Source organism: Homo sapiens, chromosome 3 (assembly GCF_000001405.40).
Source record: "Homo sapiens chromosome 3, GRCh38.p14 Primary Assembly".
Lineage (NCBI taxonomy): Eukaryota > Metazoa > Chordata > Mammalia > Primates > Hominidae > Homo > Homo sapiens.
This window is the reverse complement of record NC_000003.12, coordinates 5,546,896-5,565,064: the sequence shown is the minus strand read 5'-3', so window position 1 is coordinate 5,565,064 and position 18,169 is coordinate 5,546,896. Positions and strand designations below refer to the sequence as shown.

At 40.3% G+C, this 18,169-nt stretch overlaps 1 annotated feature.

Annotated features, from left to right (window-relative positions):
- Positions 409-1,608: an enhancer, noted in NCBI's record as "BRD4-independent group 4 enhancer chr3:5605144-5606343 (GRCh37/hg19 assembly coordinates)". NCBI's record gives its function as "activates an origin of replication core promoter dependent on BRD2, P300/CBP, MED14 and CDK7 cofactors, and independent of BRD4, by STARR-seq in HCT116 cells {active_cell/tissue: HCT116}" and the evidence as "EXISTENCE:reporter gene assay evidence [ECO:0000049][PMID:35650434]".

Below are 18,169 nucleotides of genomic sequence, written 5' to 3'. Positions count from 1 at the left end.
TATACCTGGTTATGTGTAAGAATCACATGATAACGTTTTAATGAGATTCCAGGGCTCAAACTCTGAATCTACTACCCTAGACTCTCTCCAAAGGTGGAACCCAAGAAACAAATATCTCTCCCTATGTGATTCTGATACAGCCAGTCCCCACACTATGCTTAGTAACAACTGCTTTAGAACAGTCCTTCTCAATGGATAGCCCACAAATCACCTGCCTCCAAACTACCAAGAGAGTTCATAAAAACATTAAATTCTCAAGCCCCTTTCCATACCTAATCAATCATAGTTTCTGGACCTGAACACAGGTAGCTTTAGCTTGCACGAGCTCTCCAGGTGAATCTAATACATACTGATCTGACAACCAGGGCTCTTATACTATGATTCTCAAATTAGCATGCATCAAAATCAGCAGCAGCGCTTGTTAAAACACAGACTTCTGAGCTCCAACCCCTGAGTTGCTGTTGCAGAGAGTCTGAGGTGGGCCTGAGAATATGGATTCCTAACAGGATCCCAGGTGATACTGATGCTGCTGGTCTGGACATCACACATTGAGAACCACTGGTACATATCTGATTCACAATCTGAGCTGCACCTTGGAGTCACCAAGAGAACTTAAAAATACAAATAACAGATTCTCACTCCACATATTCTGATGTAGTTAGTTTGGGGTGTAGCTTGGGCATAGGAATTTTCCAAAGCTAGCCCAGGTGGTTTTCTTTTTTCTTTTTTTTTCTTTTTTTGAGATGAAGTCTTGCTCAGTTGGCCAGGCTGGAAGGCAGTGGCGTGATCTCAGCTCACTGCCACCTCCACCTCCTGGGTTCAAGCAATTCTCTTGCCTCAGGCTCCCAAGAAGGTGGGATTACAGGCACATGCCACCACACCCGGCTCATTTTAGTATTTTTAGTAGAGACAGGGTTTCACCATGTTGGCCAGGCTGGTCTCAAACTCCTGATCTCATGATCCACCCACCTTGGCCTCCCAAAATGCTGGGATTACCAGCACGAGCCACCGCACCCGGCCCCTCAGGTGATTTTCACTACTGTCAATGTGAGATCCACTGGTGTTGACCTTATCCTGAAGTCTATCATGGTTACTGTCCAGCGAACTTGCTCACTGCCATCCCACGCAGAAAGGGCTTCCAGGAAACAGCTGGTGAGTGTTCAGGTTTTCACACTGGACTTGAACACCTTAAAGTTTCAGGGGTATTGCATCAGATCTCCAGCTATAGTTACCTCCTCCCACTTCAATAAGAGCAGCTCCTCTTTCATCATTTCCTATATTGTTCTTTCTCCTAAGGTTTCATTTGAAGAAAGAGTCCCTTGGCTAAAAAAAAAAAAAATTTGAAAACCACTAATACAAGGAAAAGGACACTAAGCTGAAAATCAGCAGGCCTTGCTTCTAGCAATGTAATAATTTAACCTCTCTGAGCTTCAGCTTCTCACTTGATCATCTCTAAGAACAACAGATAACGTTTGTATAGTAATTTGAAGTTATAAATGACAGTTGGCAGTAATATACACTAGTTGACAATTTGCTTCACATGATCATTACAACCCTGGGAGATCAAAGATATTAAAGACTATTTTATAGACGGGTGTCTCAGTCCATTTTGTGCCACTGTAATAGGATATCACAGATGAGATAATTGACAAACAGTAGAAATTTCTCATGGTACTGGAGGTGGAAAGCTCAAGATCTAGGTACTGGCAGGTTTGCGTCTGATGAGAGCTCAGTGTTTACTTTGAAGACGTCACCTTAAACACAGCATCCTTCAGATGGGAGGAACTCTGTTCCTTCAGGGCAGAAGAGCAGAATAGCAAGGAGAGAGAACCCACTCTCCAAAGCCCTTTTTTAAAGGCATTAAACCCACCAATGAGACCAGAGCCCTCCTGGCCTAATCACTACTTAAAGGCACCACCTCTTAATACTCTTACGATGGCAATTAAACTTCAACCTGAGTTTTGAAGGAGACAAACATTCAAATCACAGCAACGGAAAAAACCACAGGTTGAATAACACCTCTAAATTCATCCAGCAAAGGCAATACTCAATCCCACATCTTCTGAATCCAAATTCTGATTCATTTTACATCACGACGCTGCCTTTAATGTCTCCTCTTTCATAATCGACCTGAATCTCTGCTTTATTTTCTTTTCCTCTGTCTACAAAAGGGGAGCAATTATCTTTAGGCCCAACACCTCCATAATAATCAGGGATTCATCTCATCTAGGGGTAAGGATGAAGGGGTAATTTAAAGACAGCGATGCTGAAAGCATGGTCCCCTAACCAGCAGCATTTCATCACCTGGGAACTTGTTGGAAACACCAACTTTCAGGCCTCACCCCAGACATACTGCATCAGAATCCTGGGAGGAGAGCCCCAGCAATCTATGCTTTAACAAGCCTCCAAGTGACACTGATGCATGGTCAAGTTTGAGATCTACTGGTTAAGGCTCTCTAATGCAATGTGTGAAAGTTTTGTCAGCCAGAAACATAGTGGCATAACTAGTGGTGAGGAAGAAGGCTCATATGAGCTAACTGTCAAATTTTCAAGAATTTTTCAAGCTTCTTAGAAATATTTACACCATGGAAATTTGCAAACATTACAGTGGAAAACTGGAAACACTACAAATCAGAGGACCATTCTCCCCATAGAGCCTGTTTACCAGCACACAATTACAATAATACCCTGATCATAGATCTCAATTCTCATAAGTGGCTTCAGCCTTATTTCTAAGGTCAAGAGTCCACCTTGAGGGGAATAGGCCGTGTCTTGATTATGCCAGGTGCTCCCATCTGTCACATCTACCAGGAACTAGAAAATGCACAGTCAATTTTGCCGAAAAATTTTACTAGTTTGCCATTGTTTTTAGAATGTAATATAAATATCTCAACAGGAATAAGCGATCCTGCATGCCTCTATTTTCCACTCTAGTCTCATCTGTAACCACCCTCCTCTCCTGCCTGGTCTATACTATGCTCCAACTCCAACCATACTGTAAATCATTTCTCATCCCCCTCCACCATCCCTACCTTTGGTTCATTGCATATGTTATTTCTGCAGCCTGGAAAACCTTCCACTCTCCCACCCTACTCACTCTTTAGGTCTGAGCTCAGTCACAATCCCCTCCAGGAAGTCTACCTTCACAACTCTTCCTTCCCAATCCTTCCCCTGCCTACTCCCCACCCCCAGCTTAGGATGGGTTATGACACGTATTTCCTCTGTTCTCACACAGCACCTTCTAATATCCTCATCAAGGTACTTACCACCTATGTAACCGGCGACTGGCTCCTTGTCTCTCTGCAACTATACACCCCTAAAAGCACCAATGTTTCAGTCATTATAGAACCATCGGCACCTACTACTGTTGTAGGTTTGTAGTAGATATTCAATAAGTATTTATTTGAATTAATAAATATCTTCTCTGGTTCTGATAATTCATCTGCCTAAATGTCCAAATGCTGACACTTCTAGACTCCCCAGAGTCATGCTATACCAACTTTTATTCACCATTTTGGATTTTCCAGATATGAATAACCACTAGGTAATCATTGCCATCCCCACCCAGATTCAGCCTGCTAGTGATTTTTTTTCTTTCCAAAGTATACAGGTGAATGAACAAATATTTCTATTGTAACATAAAGCAATCTGTCCCTGACCCCCGTGTCTGACTTTGATCCCATTAATCTCTCCATACTTGCCCTCAAAATCAGGATGTCATTAAGATATAAAACATTATGATGTGTGTATGCCTTATTACCTACACATTTAGCTCCTATGCATATACCAAACAAAATTATGTACAGTTATTCACCAAAAAACACATGCTAGAATGAAAATAGCATCCCTATTCCTAATAGTCCCAAACTAGTAACAATTTGAATGTCCATCAATGGTAGAATACATAATAACACAGTAGGGACATTGAAGTACAGCTACCTACAACAAGATGCATGAAACCGTGATGCAGGGCAAAAGAAATCAAACATATTTTGGTTTGAAACAGTAATATTGACCATTTTGTGTTTTGGAAAAAAAGAAGCTAAACATAAATGAGTACATACTATATATAGGCCCATTTATAAAGTTTCAAACACAGGTTAAACAAATCTATGGCATCAGCACTTGAGACAGCAGAAGGTGACAGGAAGGAGGTATAAAAGAGCTTCTGGGAAGCTGGTAAATGTCTGTTTCTTGATCTGGAGTCTGGCTACACTGTAATTCTGAAAAACCCCTCATTATTCAATTGCTAATTCACTGATAATTTGTGCACTTCTCTGTACATACATTATTCTTCAATAACAAGTTGTCATTTAAAAAGTCAAACTATCTAAAGCATTGTGGTGGACGTGGTGTGGCAAAACAAAAGTATCAGGCATGCATTCTCTCGTTGTTAGAATGTTGGGGGAGAGTTCACACATGTGCATCTGTAAGCCAAACTAGCAAAACAGACTGTGAATGACAGGGACATGGGCTCACAGGGGTGTGGTAAAGCTGGCCTTCATGAGCCAATGCTACACATCTCTTCCCTACTCTGTATTCAGTGACATCAAATTGATAGTTTGAAATCAGCCACAATGATAATATTTACACCATAGAAATTGGCAAATGCTACAAATCATGGCTGCCAACCCCACTTCCTCCTAAGGAGAGTTGATTGCTAAACATGTACCAGCACACCAGTAGCTACAGAAACCTAAATTATTATGGGAACTAGTGTGAGCACCAATATCTCAGTCTTAGTCACATCACAGTTCAGTGACAAATGCACACCTAAAAAAAAAAAAAAAGTTGGACCAGATGCGGTGGCTTACCCTATAATCCCAGTACTTTGGCAGGCAGAGGCAGGAGAATTACTTGAACCCAGGAGTTTGAGATCAGCCTGGGCAACACGGTGAGATCCTGTCTCTACTACAAACAAACAAACAAACAAAAAAAAAGAGTCTAGAATCAATTTTTTGGAACAAGGTAATAAAAACAAAACTGACCCAAAACTCTTGCTCCTGGGTGCATCACCCTGCTGCCCCCCAAGTGGTAAATAAACTCTTGCATGCTTTTCTGGAGATGGGGTTCACCTCAACAAATTCCAGGCACTGCACCCAGCCCTTGGTTTAGTTTAGGATGCCTTTAACTGAATACCATTAATTCTATAAATTCTGGAAATTACAGGGAGGTACGATTGATAGACTATATTAACATAAGAAGCATCAAAATTTATCTTGCCAGAATATGCAGTATTGGAAACAAAATATTGTCGAGAGAATAAAGAAGTTGGTAAATCATGATATTGGTGCAAGCCATACTCAGTAATCCAGTCTGGCCCAGCCTGCTATCTACAAACTTACGAGAAAGCCTGTGGAATTTCAGAAATCTTACAACCTTGTAAATAATGCATCTTGTTTTGTGAGAATCATGCAGTGAATAATACATCAGACACAGGGGATCTGAAATTCAGAACAAAGAATGGGACTGGGGAGAATTTCAGGTGACCTGAACTGTGTGCTTAAAACTATGCAATATTACTAACATTAACACTGCCTAAGTACATAGTGTGTTTTTCACAGAAGAAGTAAATGAAAGAAAGAGAAAGAGGTAGAGGAAATAGCTCTAATTTTTTTTTGGCACTAAAACAGCAACATTTCCATTTTAGAATTATACATGACAAAATGCAAAGGAAAGCATTGTTGTGAAGTATTTAATCCCTTAGACAGAAGGCTATTAAAGAAGCTGGGAACATTAATTTGTTGATCTTCATGGTGCCTGGAGGTGTTAGTGAAAGCAATCTACAGCCAGCATATGGTGGAAAAGCAGAGGAAAGTTAAAGTGGCCTCCAAGCACTTTGAGCCAACCTCAGTTCTCAAAATGTTCCCAGACATCCAAGCCCCAGGGCCCAGCTCAAACCACAATCTGGTGTTCCTTTCACTCTTCAAGGTGCATTAAATTTTAGAAGATACTGCACTTTTTTTTTTTTTTAACGGACAAGGAACCAAACTAGGAAAAAGAAAAGGAACAATGTTGCTGTGATTTCTGTAGCCAACTGTAGAAAGGAAACATTCCTAAACTGTATTTGGAGACACCAAGCTGAATGGGCGTGACGGATTACTGTAGATATTTTTATACGCTGCCTGGCAGCCCTCATTTGACTTCTTACAGGCTTAGCCTCTGGCCACAGAAGTGGCACATGACCCGGGTCTGGCCAATCACAGCACCCCATTACCCTGAATAAAACGATTGACTAAGGACAGGGGCTTATCAACAAGGCAGAACCAACAAGAAAAAGAGTCCTTCCTTGAACTAGTAAACAGACATGGCAGGGGGGCAGTTGGGAAAAAGTATCTTTCTATGGACTTCACTAAACTGAGGGCATGGGCATCTGGAACTGTGTGTGGCAGGTGGGGAAATGTTTTATCCAGAAGCCCACCTAGTGGGAAAGAGAGGAAAGAAATAGAGAGAGATGGAGCCCAATGTTTGAGTCCCTGGATCCAGCCACAGCAGAAAGCTAAAACGTTCCCCAGACTTCCCAGTTGTTACACGAGCTCAAAATTCACTCAAGGTCTTTTGAGGTTTTGTTTTGGCATCAGGTGCAATGAAAAAAAACCTTAAAAAATAAACTGGGGACAGAAGTATAAACGGGTCTATTCTATCTGGATACTGGCTTATCAGCCTTGAGCCTGGGAAAAAGAAGTGAATTATCAAATGGTAAATTATGATCAGCTATGAAAAATCCCAAGTAAAATTATAAAGGAAAGGCCAGAGCCTACCTAGAATGCAACTTCTATCATTCTTGAAAGGAAGGGAATCTGCTTTATGTTTATCAACCCCTTCTTTACAGATCAGGATCCTGAATCCTCTAGATATGAAACATGATTTACGTTCTAGATTCTCCTAAACAGAGAGTAATACAAAAGTAGCTTGCACCTGTAGAGTGTGAGGGAGGGAGAAAGAAACATGAACAGCAAGAGCTTGCAACTTCTAAGTAATCTCAATAGACCATGACCTAGAAGCTTCTGAGAGTGTGTCTCACCTGGTATTTTAACTCATCCACTTGACCAGATGGAATTTGGTACAGACATGCTCTAGGCAGAGCCTGAATCCAGTGCCCATGTCATATCTTGCTGTTAGAGACATAAGCCAACAGAAGAATACCATCTATGAGAACTCTGGTTCTCTCTGGCCCTGGGTTTGTCCATTACTAAGGAAGCAACAGCCACAGAGAATGGATTTTGGACAGATCCATGATGCCAAGGGTATATGGCCTATGGTCATCTCACTAAATAAAAGTCATTTAATGACTTTAAACACAGCTTTTCCAGAAAATACATGAATGCAATCTTCTCCCCAAAAGGTGGACTTCATATATAAAGAATATTTTTCTCCAACTTGACAAACTTCTGAAAGTTGACTAAAATATGGCCTTGGAAATCTGGAAATTGCTCTGCATATGGTCTTGGAAACCATTATTAGCCCTTGTATACAAAGATAGTGGTAAGTTAGGTGAAGAGAAACGTACTACCATGACCTAGTAATTGCATGGCCAGTAAAGTTGTTTGCAAATTTGTAAGGCATTTCTCAAATATAGATTCAAGTCAGATTAAGCAAAAGCCCAACATTCCTTGCCAACGAAGATTTATAAGAAATAGAAATAACAAAATTGCAGCCCAAAATCCAACCCAAGTCACCGGATCTGAAAGAAGAAAAGAGAGGTAGGGTCTCATGTTTCAAACTTTCAAATCCTTGGTATGCCCAATCTAGAGACATCGATCTGAATTTGGGCTGACTTGATTATTAAATTGAGGCAATATTTTACTGTAGCAATCATGGATACTGTACCCCCCACCTCAAGTTGCACAGATTTTGCTAAGAAAGCTGAGAAAGTTCAGTGTTTGTGATTGAAGCCCATCAGTTTTAAAAATATTCAAAACTAGATGTCTGCCATAGAAATCTTTGCTATTTGTGGACTCACACTCTAGTGTGACACCATGGTTTTCTGAAGTAGGATACGAAATAGATGAGAAGTTATTAGCAATATTAATGAGTAGAATGCTGTGAGTTTTCTTGAATTTTTCAACCTGTATTTTGGAGCAAAGGCAATATTACTTCCAATTTTATTCTGGACTTCAATACTCTGCATCTCCAGGTCTCCTAACAGCATCATGCATGACTGTTCAAACGAGTGGAGGACTAGACTTTCAGGTGGATAATGTTGCCAGGGAAACTGCCTACCTACCACCTCAATATGTCTATCTCAGGTAAAACAGACAGTTCTGCTGCATGCATGACTCCCTTGTCCATAACAAAACAGAGCTGGAAAACTGCCTTCAGAAATTTTATAGTCGCAAAGTCCTGTAGAGAAGATAAGGTCTTTAAAATTCATATAAAACATTACATCCATCCTGTCAGACATGTTCTAGAATCCTACAGAATAGATTACATCTGCAGGGTGGGAGGGAGGGGAGAAGAAAGATGAACAGCCAGGGCTGGCAACTTCGAAGAGACCTCTATAGACGTGACCTTGATGCTGTGGAGCCTGAGTCCCATCTGGTGTGTTAACCCATCCACTCAACCAGACAGAATGAAAAACAACCTTCTAAAGTGATGGAAATGACAGGAAGTTATTTTGTCCTTTCCCCCCACTTATAATGGAATTTTAATATGGAATAGTTGTTTCTTTTTCAAATAGAGCAGAGACCCCAGTAGATAGTTTTGATTTTTCAAACATCCAGGGTCACTTCCATCATTCAACTGGATTTTGTGGCTTGCCTTCTCTGGATAATGGAAATCTGTTCTAGTCCTTTTTCATCACCTGTGTCTGCTCTTCCTGTTTAATTTGGGAAAGTCTGTTGGAGCAGTTAAAAAGAAAGACAATACTGAGAGCACCTAGGTTTGAACCCCCAGCTCTGGCACTTCTTTGCTGTGAATTTAAGACATTTATTCTCACTTAACCTCCTCATCTGTAAAATTGGGATATCCACAGTAGTTTCATAGATTTATCTAGAGGTGCATATGAGACTATGTGAATATTTCTATGTGATTACTTAAACATGAGCATTTTTTAAATTATACCTATTTTATTTTCAAAGTTGAAAATAAGTCAATTGAAATGTGTTTTAAAGGAAAAATTAGAGGCCCAGGGTCAACTGAGTGAGGAAAGGCACAAATAGTTTAATAAATAACCCGTACGTCATTCTTTTTAATGCTCTCTGCAGCTCTATGAGGTAAAGTTTATTGCCCTCATTTTACAGAAGGAGACACTCAGGTTCTGAAGGCTAAATACTTGACCCTAAATAATGTAACTAATGAGTAGAAAAATCAGGATTTGAACCCAGGGCTGTCTCAACCAAGGCCGAATATATTTTCTCAAGAGGAAAAAGAATCAGCTGTATTAAAAAAACAAAAAACAAAAAATGAGAAGATTAGGGCATCAACCAGACTGACAGGTCAATAGATGGATCCACTAGAAATATTCCAGTGGCAAATGACAGAAAGCAGAACCTCTACTGGTTGAGTAAAAAAAGAAATTATTGTCTTCTCTAAACCACAATTGAATGTGATATTTGCTTCAGTCATAGCAAGATATGGAGGATCAAATGATGTCACCAGAATTATCTCTGTATCTCCTCATTTTCCTCTGAGTTGGCTCCATTCACAAACAAAATTTCCTCTCACAGTAAGAAGATGGGTCACACAGCTACAGCCCTTACATTTCGTCAGCTTCAAAGACAAAGGGAAGAGCAAGTCTACTGCTCTGAAGTCCTAGCAAAGTTCTTCTTACTGGATCTCAGTTTAGGCTGCTATAAAAGAAATACCATAGATGGCATGGCTTAAACAACAGAAATTTATTTCTCATAGCTCTGGAGACTGGGAAGTCCAAGATTAAGGAGCCTACAGATTGAGTGTCTGGTGAGGGCCCACTTACTGGTTTGTGGATAACGATCTTCTTGCTGTATACTCACACAGGAAAGAGGGGAGTGGGGGGAAGGTCCCGTATCTCTTTGTCATTGTATAGCAACACAAATCCCATTAACAAGGGCTCCACCCTCATGCCCTACCCAATTACCTCCTAATGGCCCCAGCTCCAAGTATTAGGCTTTCAACATATGAATTGGGGGGTGGGTGGGGACAAACATTCAGATAGCAGTCAGATACATGCCAAAGGTTAGAAACTTTAGTAAGTCATTTAATGGACTCCAAGTAAGGAGCTGATATTTTTAAGATGGAGAGCCACAAAATTACAAGGCATGTATTAAAGAGATTGAAGAAATGAGTGACATATTTGGATTATTCTGTTTTTTTAAGTTCAGAGGTACAAGTGCAGATTTGGTACATAGGTAAGCTTTGGTCATAGGGGTTGGTTGAATAGATTATTTCCTTACCCAGGTATTAAGCCTACTAACCACTAGTTATTTTCCCTGATCCTTTCCCTCCTCCCAGCCTTCACCCTCTATAAGACCCCTGTGTGTGTTATTTCCCTCTATGTGTCCATGTGTTCTTATCATTTAGCTCCTACTTATAACTGACAATATGTGGTATTTGGTTTTCTGTTCCTGTGTCAGTTTGATAAGGATAATGGCCTCCAGCTCCATCTATGTCCTTGCAAAGAACATAATCTCATTCTTTTTATGGCTGCATAGTATTTCATGGCATATGTATACCACATTTTCTTTATGTAGTCTATCATGAATGGGCATTAGGTCTATTCCATGTCATTGCTATTGTGAATAGTGCTGCAGTGAACATACACATGCATTTGTCTTTGTAATAGAATAATTTCTATTCTTTTGGATATATACCCAGAAATGGGATTGCTGGGTCTAATGGTATTTCTGTCTTTAGGTCTTTGAGGAATTGCCACAATGTCTTCCAAAATGGTGTCCATTCTGTTTTGAGGCATGAAGACCCCTAAAGATTATCAATGGGCCACAGCCCATACTTCAAAATCATAGCTCTAGGTCACATTAAGTTCACCACTAGGACTAGTAACCTAAAACAAAAAGCAACAAAAAAAGACTCAGTCCACCTTCTTTAGCCCATTTCAAAAAAAAAAAAGAAAAAATGCAAAATTGAGCTGATGTATGACATCCTACACATTTTTAAGGTCTGAGGGAAAGGACCCTTCTGAGAGTGAATGAGTATCTGTAGGTCTCCCCGATTCTCACATTTTTCAATTTCCAGAGTTTTGTTTCTTTTTCTTTACCTGTACCACCCTCCTCTACCTTCCCTTTATGTAAAAGTCCACCACATTTCTAGACCAAACCCTCAAAAGAGAGAATAGATAACTGATTGGAAGCAAGAATAAATCATTTTCAGTAGGCTCTTTCCTCTCTGGAACTTATGCTATTCCCTACACTAATCTTCAAGATTTACAGGAGAACATCCAGGATGAAGTCCACAGCCTCCAACCCATGAACCACAGCAACAGCCTACTCACCTGCCTGCACCATCAGAAGGCCACCTGTCTTCTACCATCCCACCAGACAGAACATACCCTATACAACACTGTAGCAACCGTGCCCTCATTTAAACAGGCCTGGCCCATTTTGGTGACAAGACTGATCTGCAGGAATCTGTGTCTTCATAGTATTACTATCCCAGCCAATGGGAATGCTTTAGTCTTCACTGAGAGAGAACGAGTAAGCAAGAGAAAGCGAGAGAGAGTGAGTGAGAGAGAGCGAGCGAAAGTGAGAGCGAGCGAGCGAGAGAGAGTGCACACACACACACTCTGATCAAGATAAAAATCTCTTGATGTGTGGTCCACTGCATTCCCTCAAGGGGGATGATCTTAATCATTTTGAAAGCCACCAACCTCTTTGAGAATGTTTTGAAAGCTTGGGCTTCTTCTGAGAAAAAGCCACATACACAAAACATTTTTATATAATTCCAAGAGATTATGGATCCTGGTTAGCAAATCCAGAGATCCTTGATTCCAGGTTAAAAGCTCCTGCTCTAGACTGGGAGCCAGTGCCCTGCTACTGGCTGGAGAGTACTGACTGGTACAGGAGCAGTACAGCTTCAGAGAGAAAGGCGCATCTCATCTGAGGATGACCTGCTAACCAGGGGACATTTGGCAATGTCTGGAAACATTTTTGATATTTAGAACTGGGGTGATGCTACTAGCATCTAGTAGGAGAGTCCAAGGGTGCTACCAATCATCCTACAATGCACAGTACATAATTATTGGGCCCAAAATTTCAATAGTGCTAAGGATGAGAACCCCAGTTAAAAAGCAATGGAAGAAACAAATGGATAGTTTAAAAAAAAAAAAAAACTCATGCTAGACCTCTGTCTGGGCTATGCTAAGAGCACTGAAGAGGACTACCTACTCCAGGCCTGGGAGGTGATCAAGGAAATCTTTCTCTTGTTGCAGTTATTGTTAAAGGACGCCTGTCCAGATTAGCATGTGCCACTGATTTCCATACATTAAACTCTCTAACCATGCCGTAACCTTGCCAAAGATCCAATAAATGCAGCTTTAACCAAATTTCCAAGTGAGTGATGGTTACTGAAGATAAAAATTTCCATTTGCTACAATTCATAAGAATGGTTGTTCATTTCCAGACATTGTGTTTTTCAAGTACAATTTGGAACCTTATATTATTTATAAGAGACCTTACGTAAACCATTATACTTCTCACGTAGTCTTAGTTTCTATGTTTCCATAGCCTGGATGATAATCCCTACCACACTAGGAGAGGTAGCCTGGAAAAACAGTTAGCAGCATGGACTCTGGAGTCAAAATGCTAGGTCAATTCTCAGCTCTACCACTCACTAGGTGTGTGGCTCCCAGCACAATATTCAGCCTCTCTAAGCCTCAGTCTTTTCATCTGCAAAAGAAGGATAATAGTAGCTGCCTCATGGACTTGCAAGGATTAAAGAAATACTATATGTCAAGCACTTAGATTATGATTATAAAAGTTGACTGTCTTTATTGTTGTGGTTATTATCATCTTAGGTATACAGGGATAATTACATGAAACTTAAAAGACATTGCATAAAATAAGATTTTGTTATCAGCTATTTGCCATCCAAAGGTCAAGGTGTGCACTTTTAAATACATGTGAATGTTTTTAACCTAAATTGGAATCAAACATATGTTTGCTAATTATCCTCTTTTATGTTTGTACAAAGCTAACTCATATGTCAATATTATTTTAGAAGTACAGCTCCTTCTGTTCACTCTAAATTGGGGGGAGAGGAAAATTTTACATCTCCATTAAAATGCCAAAGTGGCAAAACAACATGCTGGTATTCTGAAATATTTGAAACAATAAAAATGATACCCAGTCTTGTCTCAACTAATTCAGTATTTTACTCTACAAATTGTTAATTACTGAGTCCTTGCTGCCCACGTGAGAAAATTCAAACACTTGGGTCAAGCACTTCACCATCTGGCCCTGTAGCACAGTCATAGCACCTGCCAGCCCCATGTCTAAAGCTGAAATTCTTGTCAAACTCTAAACTTATCATTTGCCTTCTATCTGCTTCTACATTTAATCTAAATATTCAATGCACCATGTCTCTACCTTGTTAAATGTGACCAATCTTTCTATCAAATGCCTCCTGTGTCATGAAGATTTCTTGAAGTACATATTCCACCTTTTTGTTTCTAAACCAAACAGTATCTTTTCTTCCTTTGAATTCCCACAATCTTTGATTTACACCTCACTGGTGCTTCTAAACTAGCGAACCTAACAACACTGTGAAGAGTACTGGAGACGGACATTTCCATTTGAGCTGCAGAAATGATTCCTGTAATTCCCATGCTGTCATAATGTACAGACCTTGGAAGAGTAAGAAATCAATTCTGAATTTGTAATCTAGAGCTTGTGAGTCAAAGCAATTCCCTCAGTTAATCAATGTCTGAATTACACTGTTCATTTTGTAAACTAAGCGCCCAAGTCCTGTTCTCTTGAAATCAGAACTAGTCAAAGTAAAATTGTGCTGGCAGCTTCAGAGTCATGGAATCAAAGACTTAACAGACTTAGAAAGTCATCAAGCACTTTCAATTATTTAACTGAAGTCTCATTATTTGCAGACATGGGATCTTCATGACCCAAGCAAGGTAAAATGTTAGCACCTGCCCTACGTTCCTTCACCACTTATTTCCATTTTTTTCCAGACCTTCTCAAGTCTGCATCATTACCCATTCTCTCTTCCATTCCTCCTATTACTTAACTTAAATATGAATTCCTCTGAAAGATCATTGGTAATTCACATATAGTCCTGTTACTTTTCTTTCCTTTAAAAGGAGCATGATAATTGCAAACTGCAACAAACGAAGCTGAAAATAACTCCCCAGGCAGTTATGCATTAGGAATTAGATTAAAATGAGCCCAATTTATTTTTAAATGACCTGGTAATTTGTAGGAAAGATTTAAGCTACTTAAATTTTTATCAGTGGGAAACTGGGAGGCTCACGAAAATCAACTGTTGGATACTGCGGTGGGACAATGGACCCATTCCCTGAAGCCAGAGACAGTATTGATGGAATGTTGCTTAAAGATTTATGTTCAAATGGAAACAGGAGAGAAGACCTAATTTAACATAAATTTAATCTGCTTTAAAAGTCTAAAATAAAGCAAGTTCAATGTCAGCTTACAATTATATGTGACCAAATCTGTACTTGAAACTAATTTTCTGATTAGGATTTTAAATCAAAGTCCTAGGAATTTTTTTGAGGCACTTCATCTACTTGCATTTGAGGCATGAAGGATTCACTTCTCAGTTCAAGGAGTGAGTAAGGGGATATCAAACTTTTCCCATAGTCATTGCAACATGAAGACTCGGTTGAGGCACTGAAGCTGGACATCTCTGCAGACTCATAGCCATCCCCACCGCCTTGCATTATTGATTGCATGAATCATATGTTTGGAGTTAACTCACATGAGGCTTCCTTCATAAACCATAGTTCTGCTATTCCCCATCTCCCCACATGAGTGGTGCTGCTCATACATTTAAGCATGAATTTGATGAGTTCTGGTATAAAAAAACTAAAAGTTATTAATCCAAATTAACTTGTCTTCTCAACCTTGGGAGAGGACCACTACAATTCTAAGCATTGTGTATATATTTTGGTATAAATATAAAATCTTTGGTATAAATGTAAAAATCTTTCAAATGAGCTATCTATAAGCATCTTTATATTCAATATAGTATCATAATCTAATGTTCAATTTTTGTCTTGATATGTATGACTACCAATCTTCCTTTCTCTGTGAATTACTGCTGTAGAGACGGATGTACCTATCCATATACATATGTACATCTACACACATCTGCATCGGCATATTTATATAGACATATAAATATTACATATAGCCAAAATCAAAAGAAACAGTTTGATTAGTCATTGATACATCACTAAAGTCCTTGAATCATCCACTTTTGGGAGAAAGATGTCAATATAAATATTTAGAAAGGAAGTAGGAGGCCAAGGCAGGAGGATCACTTGAGGCCAGGACCTTGAGACCAGCCTGGGCAACATAGCAAGACTCTGTCTCTACAAAAATAGTTTTAAAACGAGAAAGGAAAAAAAATAGTCTTCCATAATGGTTTAATCTGTCCTGAAACTACAAGCATAAAATGTGTAAATATACAGTACTTCATTTACTAGTGCTAAAAATAAGCCAATTTAGGCATAGAAAATTTGAAAAGATGAACAAAGCACTGTGTAGTTGGACTCCATATGCTTCAGTTTTCTCCTCCAGAAACACTTTCTCCCCTCCATTAGAGTCTGTCCATGAAACACTGACAAATTGTATTGCATCAGTGGAGTCCAATGCCCTCTGGTTTCTCACTGAACATGGCCAGTGGGAGCCCCAGCAGACCAGAGGAAAGATGATGCATTCGCCTAGTTCATCCCCTGTGAGGGCACCCTGTGAGGGTACATCGGTGTACCCCTCAACAAGTCACCTGACCTCTCACCGCTGCCTGCTTATACAACTCTCTTCTTTGTGGTTCTGGAAATCTCTACCCCTCTATCTGCCCTGCCAGGGATTGTGACAGCTCCGCTTTAAGCTCCATGTTTCCTCTGTATCCCTTGTGGTTCCTTTACCCAGTTCCCAAACCTTTGTAATTCGTCTTTCCATAATTCCTCATCAAATTATCCTCCTCTAAGTGTGGCATTTCTGCCTTGCCAGCCTTTACAGTGTGGTCAGGGAAAAGAGAGTTTCTTTATAACAGCTGTCATTAAGTAGATGCAAAGACATACATGCAAAGAGGAGAAAGGGTCACTTTCAGTTGTTGGATCTAGAAAGGTTTCACGAAGTCCACGTGGCATTAAAAATGGACCTTTAAGGGCTCTCGGGTAAGACTGGAGGAGATAGGGTAATCACTACAAGGTGAAGAAAAGATCAGTCCCATACCTGAAAGGCAGCAAAGTACATACAATTTTCAGAAACAGCTAGACATCTAGTGTGTTCAAGTGAAGCTGGGGAACAATGGAAAGAAGACTGGAAAGTGAGGCTGGAGGATTCTGAATGTCAAGATCAACCATCCTTACAAATTCTATTCTGCAGAAAATGAAAGACTAATGAAAGCCTCCACACAAAAGAGAAATATTAGCAAAGCATTAGGAGTGTGTGCTTGCATGTGTATATGTTTATGAAACTGTATCCCACCAGAATGTAATCTTCATCAAACTAGGGCCCATATCTATTTTACTCTGCTGTTCCCAGCACATATTAGCTACTTAATTAATAGCTGATAAAAAAGAATGATTGAATAATGAAAGAAATTTTAGCTAAGAAAGTCCTTTATAGATACTAGAAAAATACACTGCAGAATGGACCTTAAACCAGGATGTGGCCAATGAAGACAGGAAGGAGGAGAGTGAGACCAACAATCCAAGATCCACTGATCAGAACCCAGCACACCCATTTCAAGGGTGGACAGTTCCTCATCAGTACATAGGTAGCTTTCAGGGGCAAGGAAAACTGCTGTTAGAGATTTAGAAACATGTCAGAATAAAACAAAACCCATACTCTAAAATATCCAGTTGTAGAAACAAATCTAAATGTCCTGAAGAAAAAATAGATAACACCATAGATAAATAACATTAATTAAAATATGAGGATCTTCATTTAGAGTTAGAGAAATGGATACCAAAATAAAAGGAAAAATCAAAGAACTAAGTAAATTTTGGAAGGCTAAAATTAGGGCTGAAAAGAGAAAAACTAAGTGGACGATAGGGGCCAGGGTCACACCTGTGCTGTGCATTGTCATCCTTGGGAACTAAGTTGCCGCTGTGTCCAACTCCTTGGGAATGAGAAGCCAAAGTGCTGCACCATCCAAGGTCTGGAGCCACCAATATGCTGTGCCCTTCACCCCAGGGCCTTAATGTTGATGTGCCCTGCCCCCCAGGTCTCAGGCTGCCATGGCACCCTGCCATTTTCTAGGGCCTGAGCCACCACAGGGCCCCTTCATCTTTGGGGCTGTGCTACTGCTGCACCTTACCATCTAAAATCTAAGCCACTCTATCCCTGTACCCCCAGGCCTAAACCACTGGTGCATACCCTAGAGTCCCAAGCCCTATCCCCACAAGTGATCTACACATGCCCACACCTCAGTGATTGTACTCATGCCCCGAGATCCAGGTGCCGCAGGAGTTCCATGAGCCCCTGAGCCTAAAACTCTGGTTCTGCAGCCACCCTGAGTGCCTGCACCCTGGAATCCAACACTGTAGTGGCTACTTGGGGCCACACCAGACCCACTGATGAGGCCGATCCCCTCAGCCAGCACTTCCCCCCAACAGAGAAAAGGAGAACAGGTGGACCCCAGCAATCTTTGATACCAAGGACCCCAACATTCCTCTTCTGCTGCTGCCGCTGCCACAAATATCCACAGCCATGGCCCTTACAGTGTTTGCTCCTACTGACCTTAGCTGCCCAAAGGCTATACCACTGTACTCCCTGAATAACAGATCCATCACAACCCATACAACTGACACCCTCACACCAACTTACAGCTGAATTTTTTTCCCCACTGAAGCCAGTCAACAAAGCCTGGAAGAGGTGATTGCTCTTCAAATGTGCAGACTTCAACACAAGGCCACAAGAAACATGATGGGGGAAAAAATGACATAACCAAAGAAACACAACAATTCACAAGTAACTGACCCCAAAGGAAAGGATATTATTGAAATTTCTGAAAAGGAATTCATAATAATTATTTT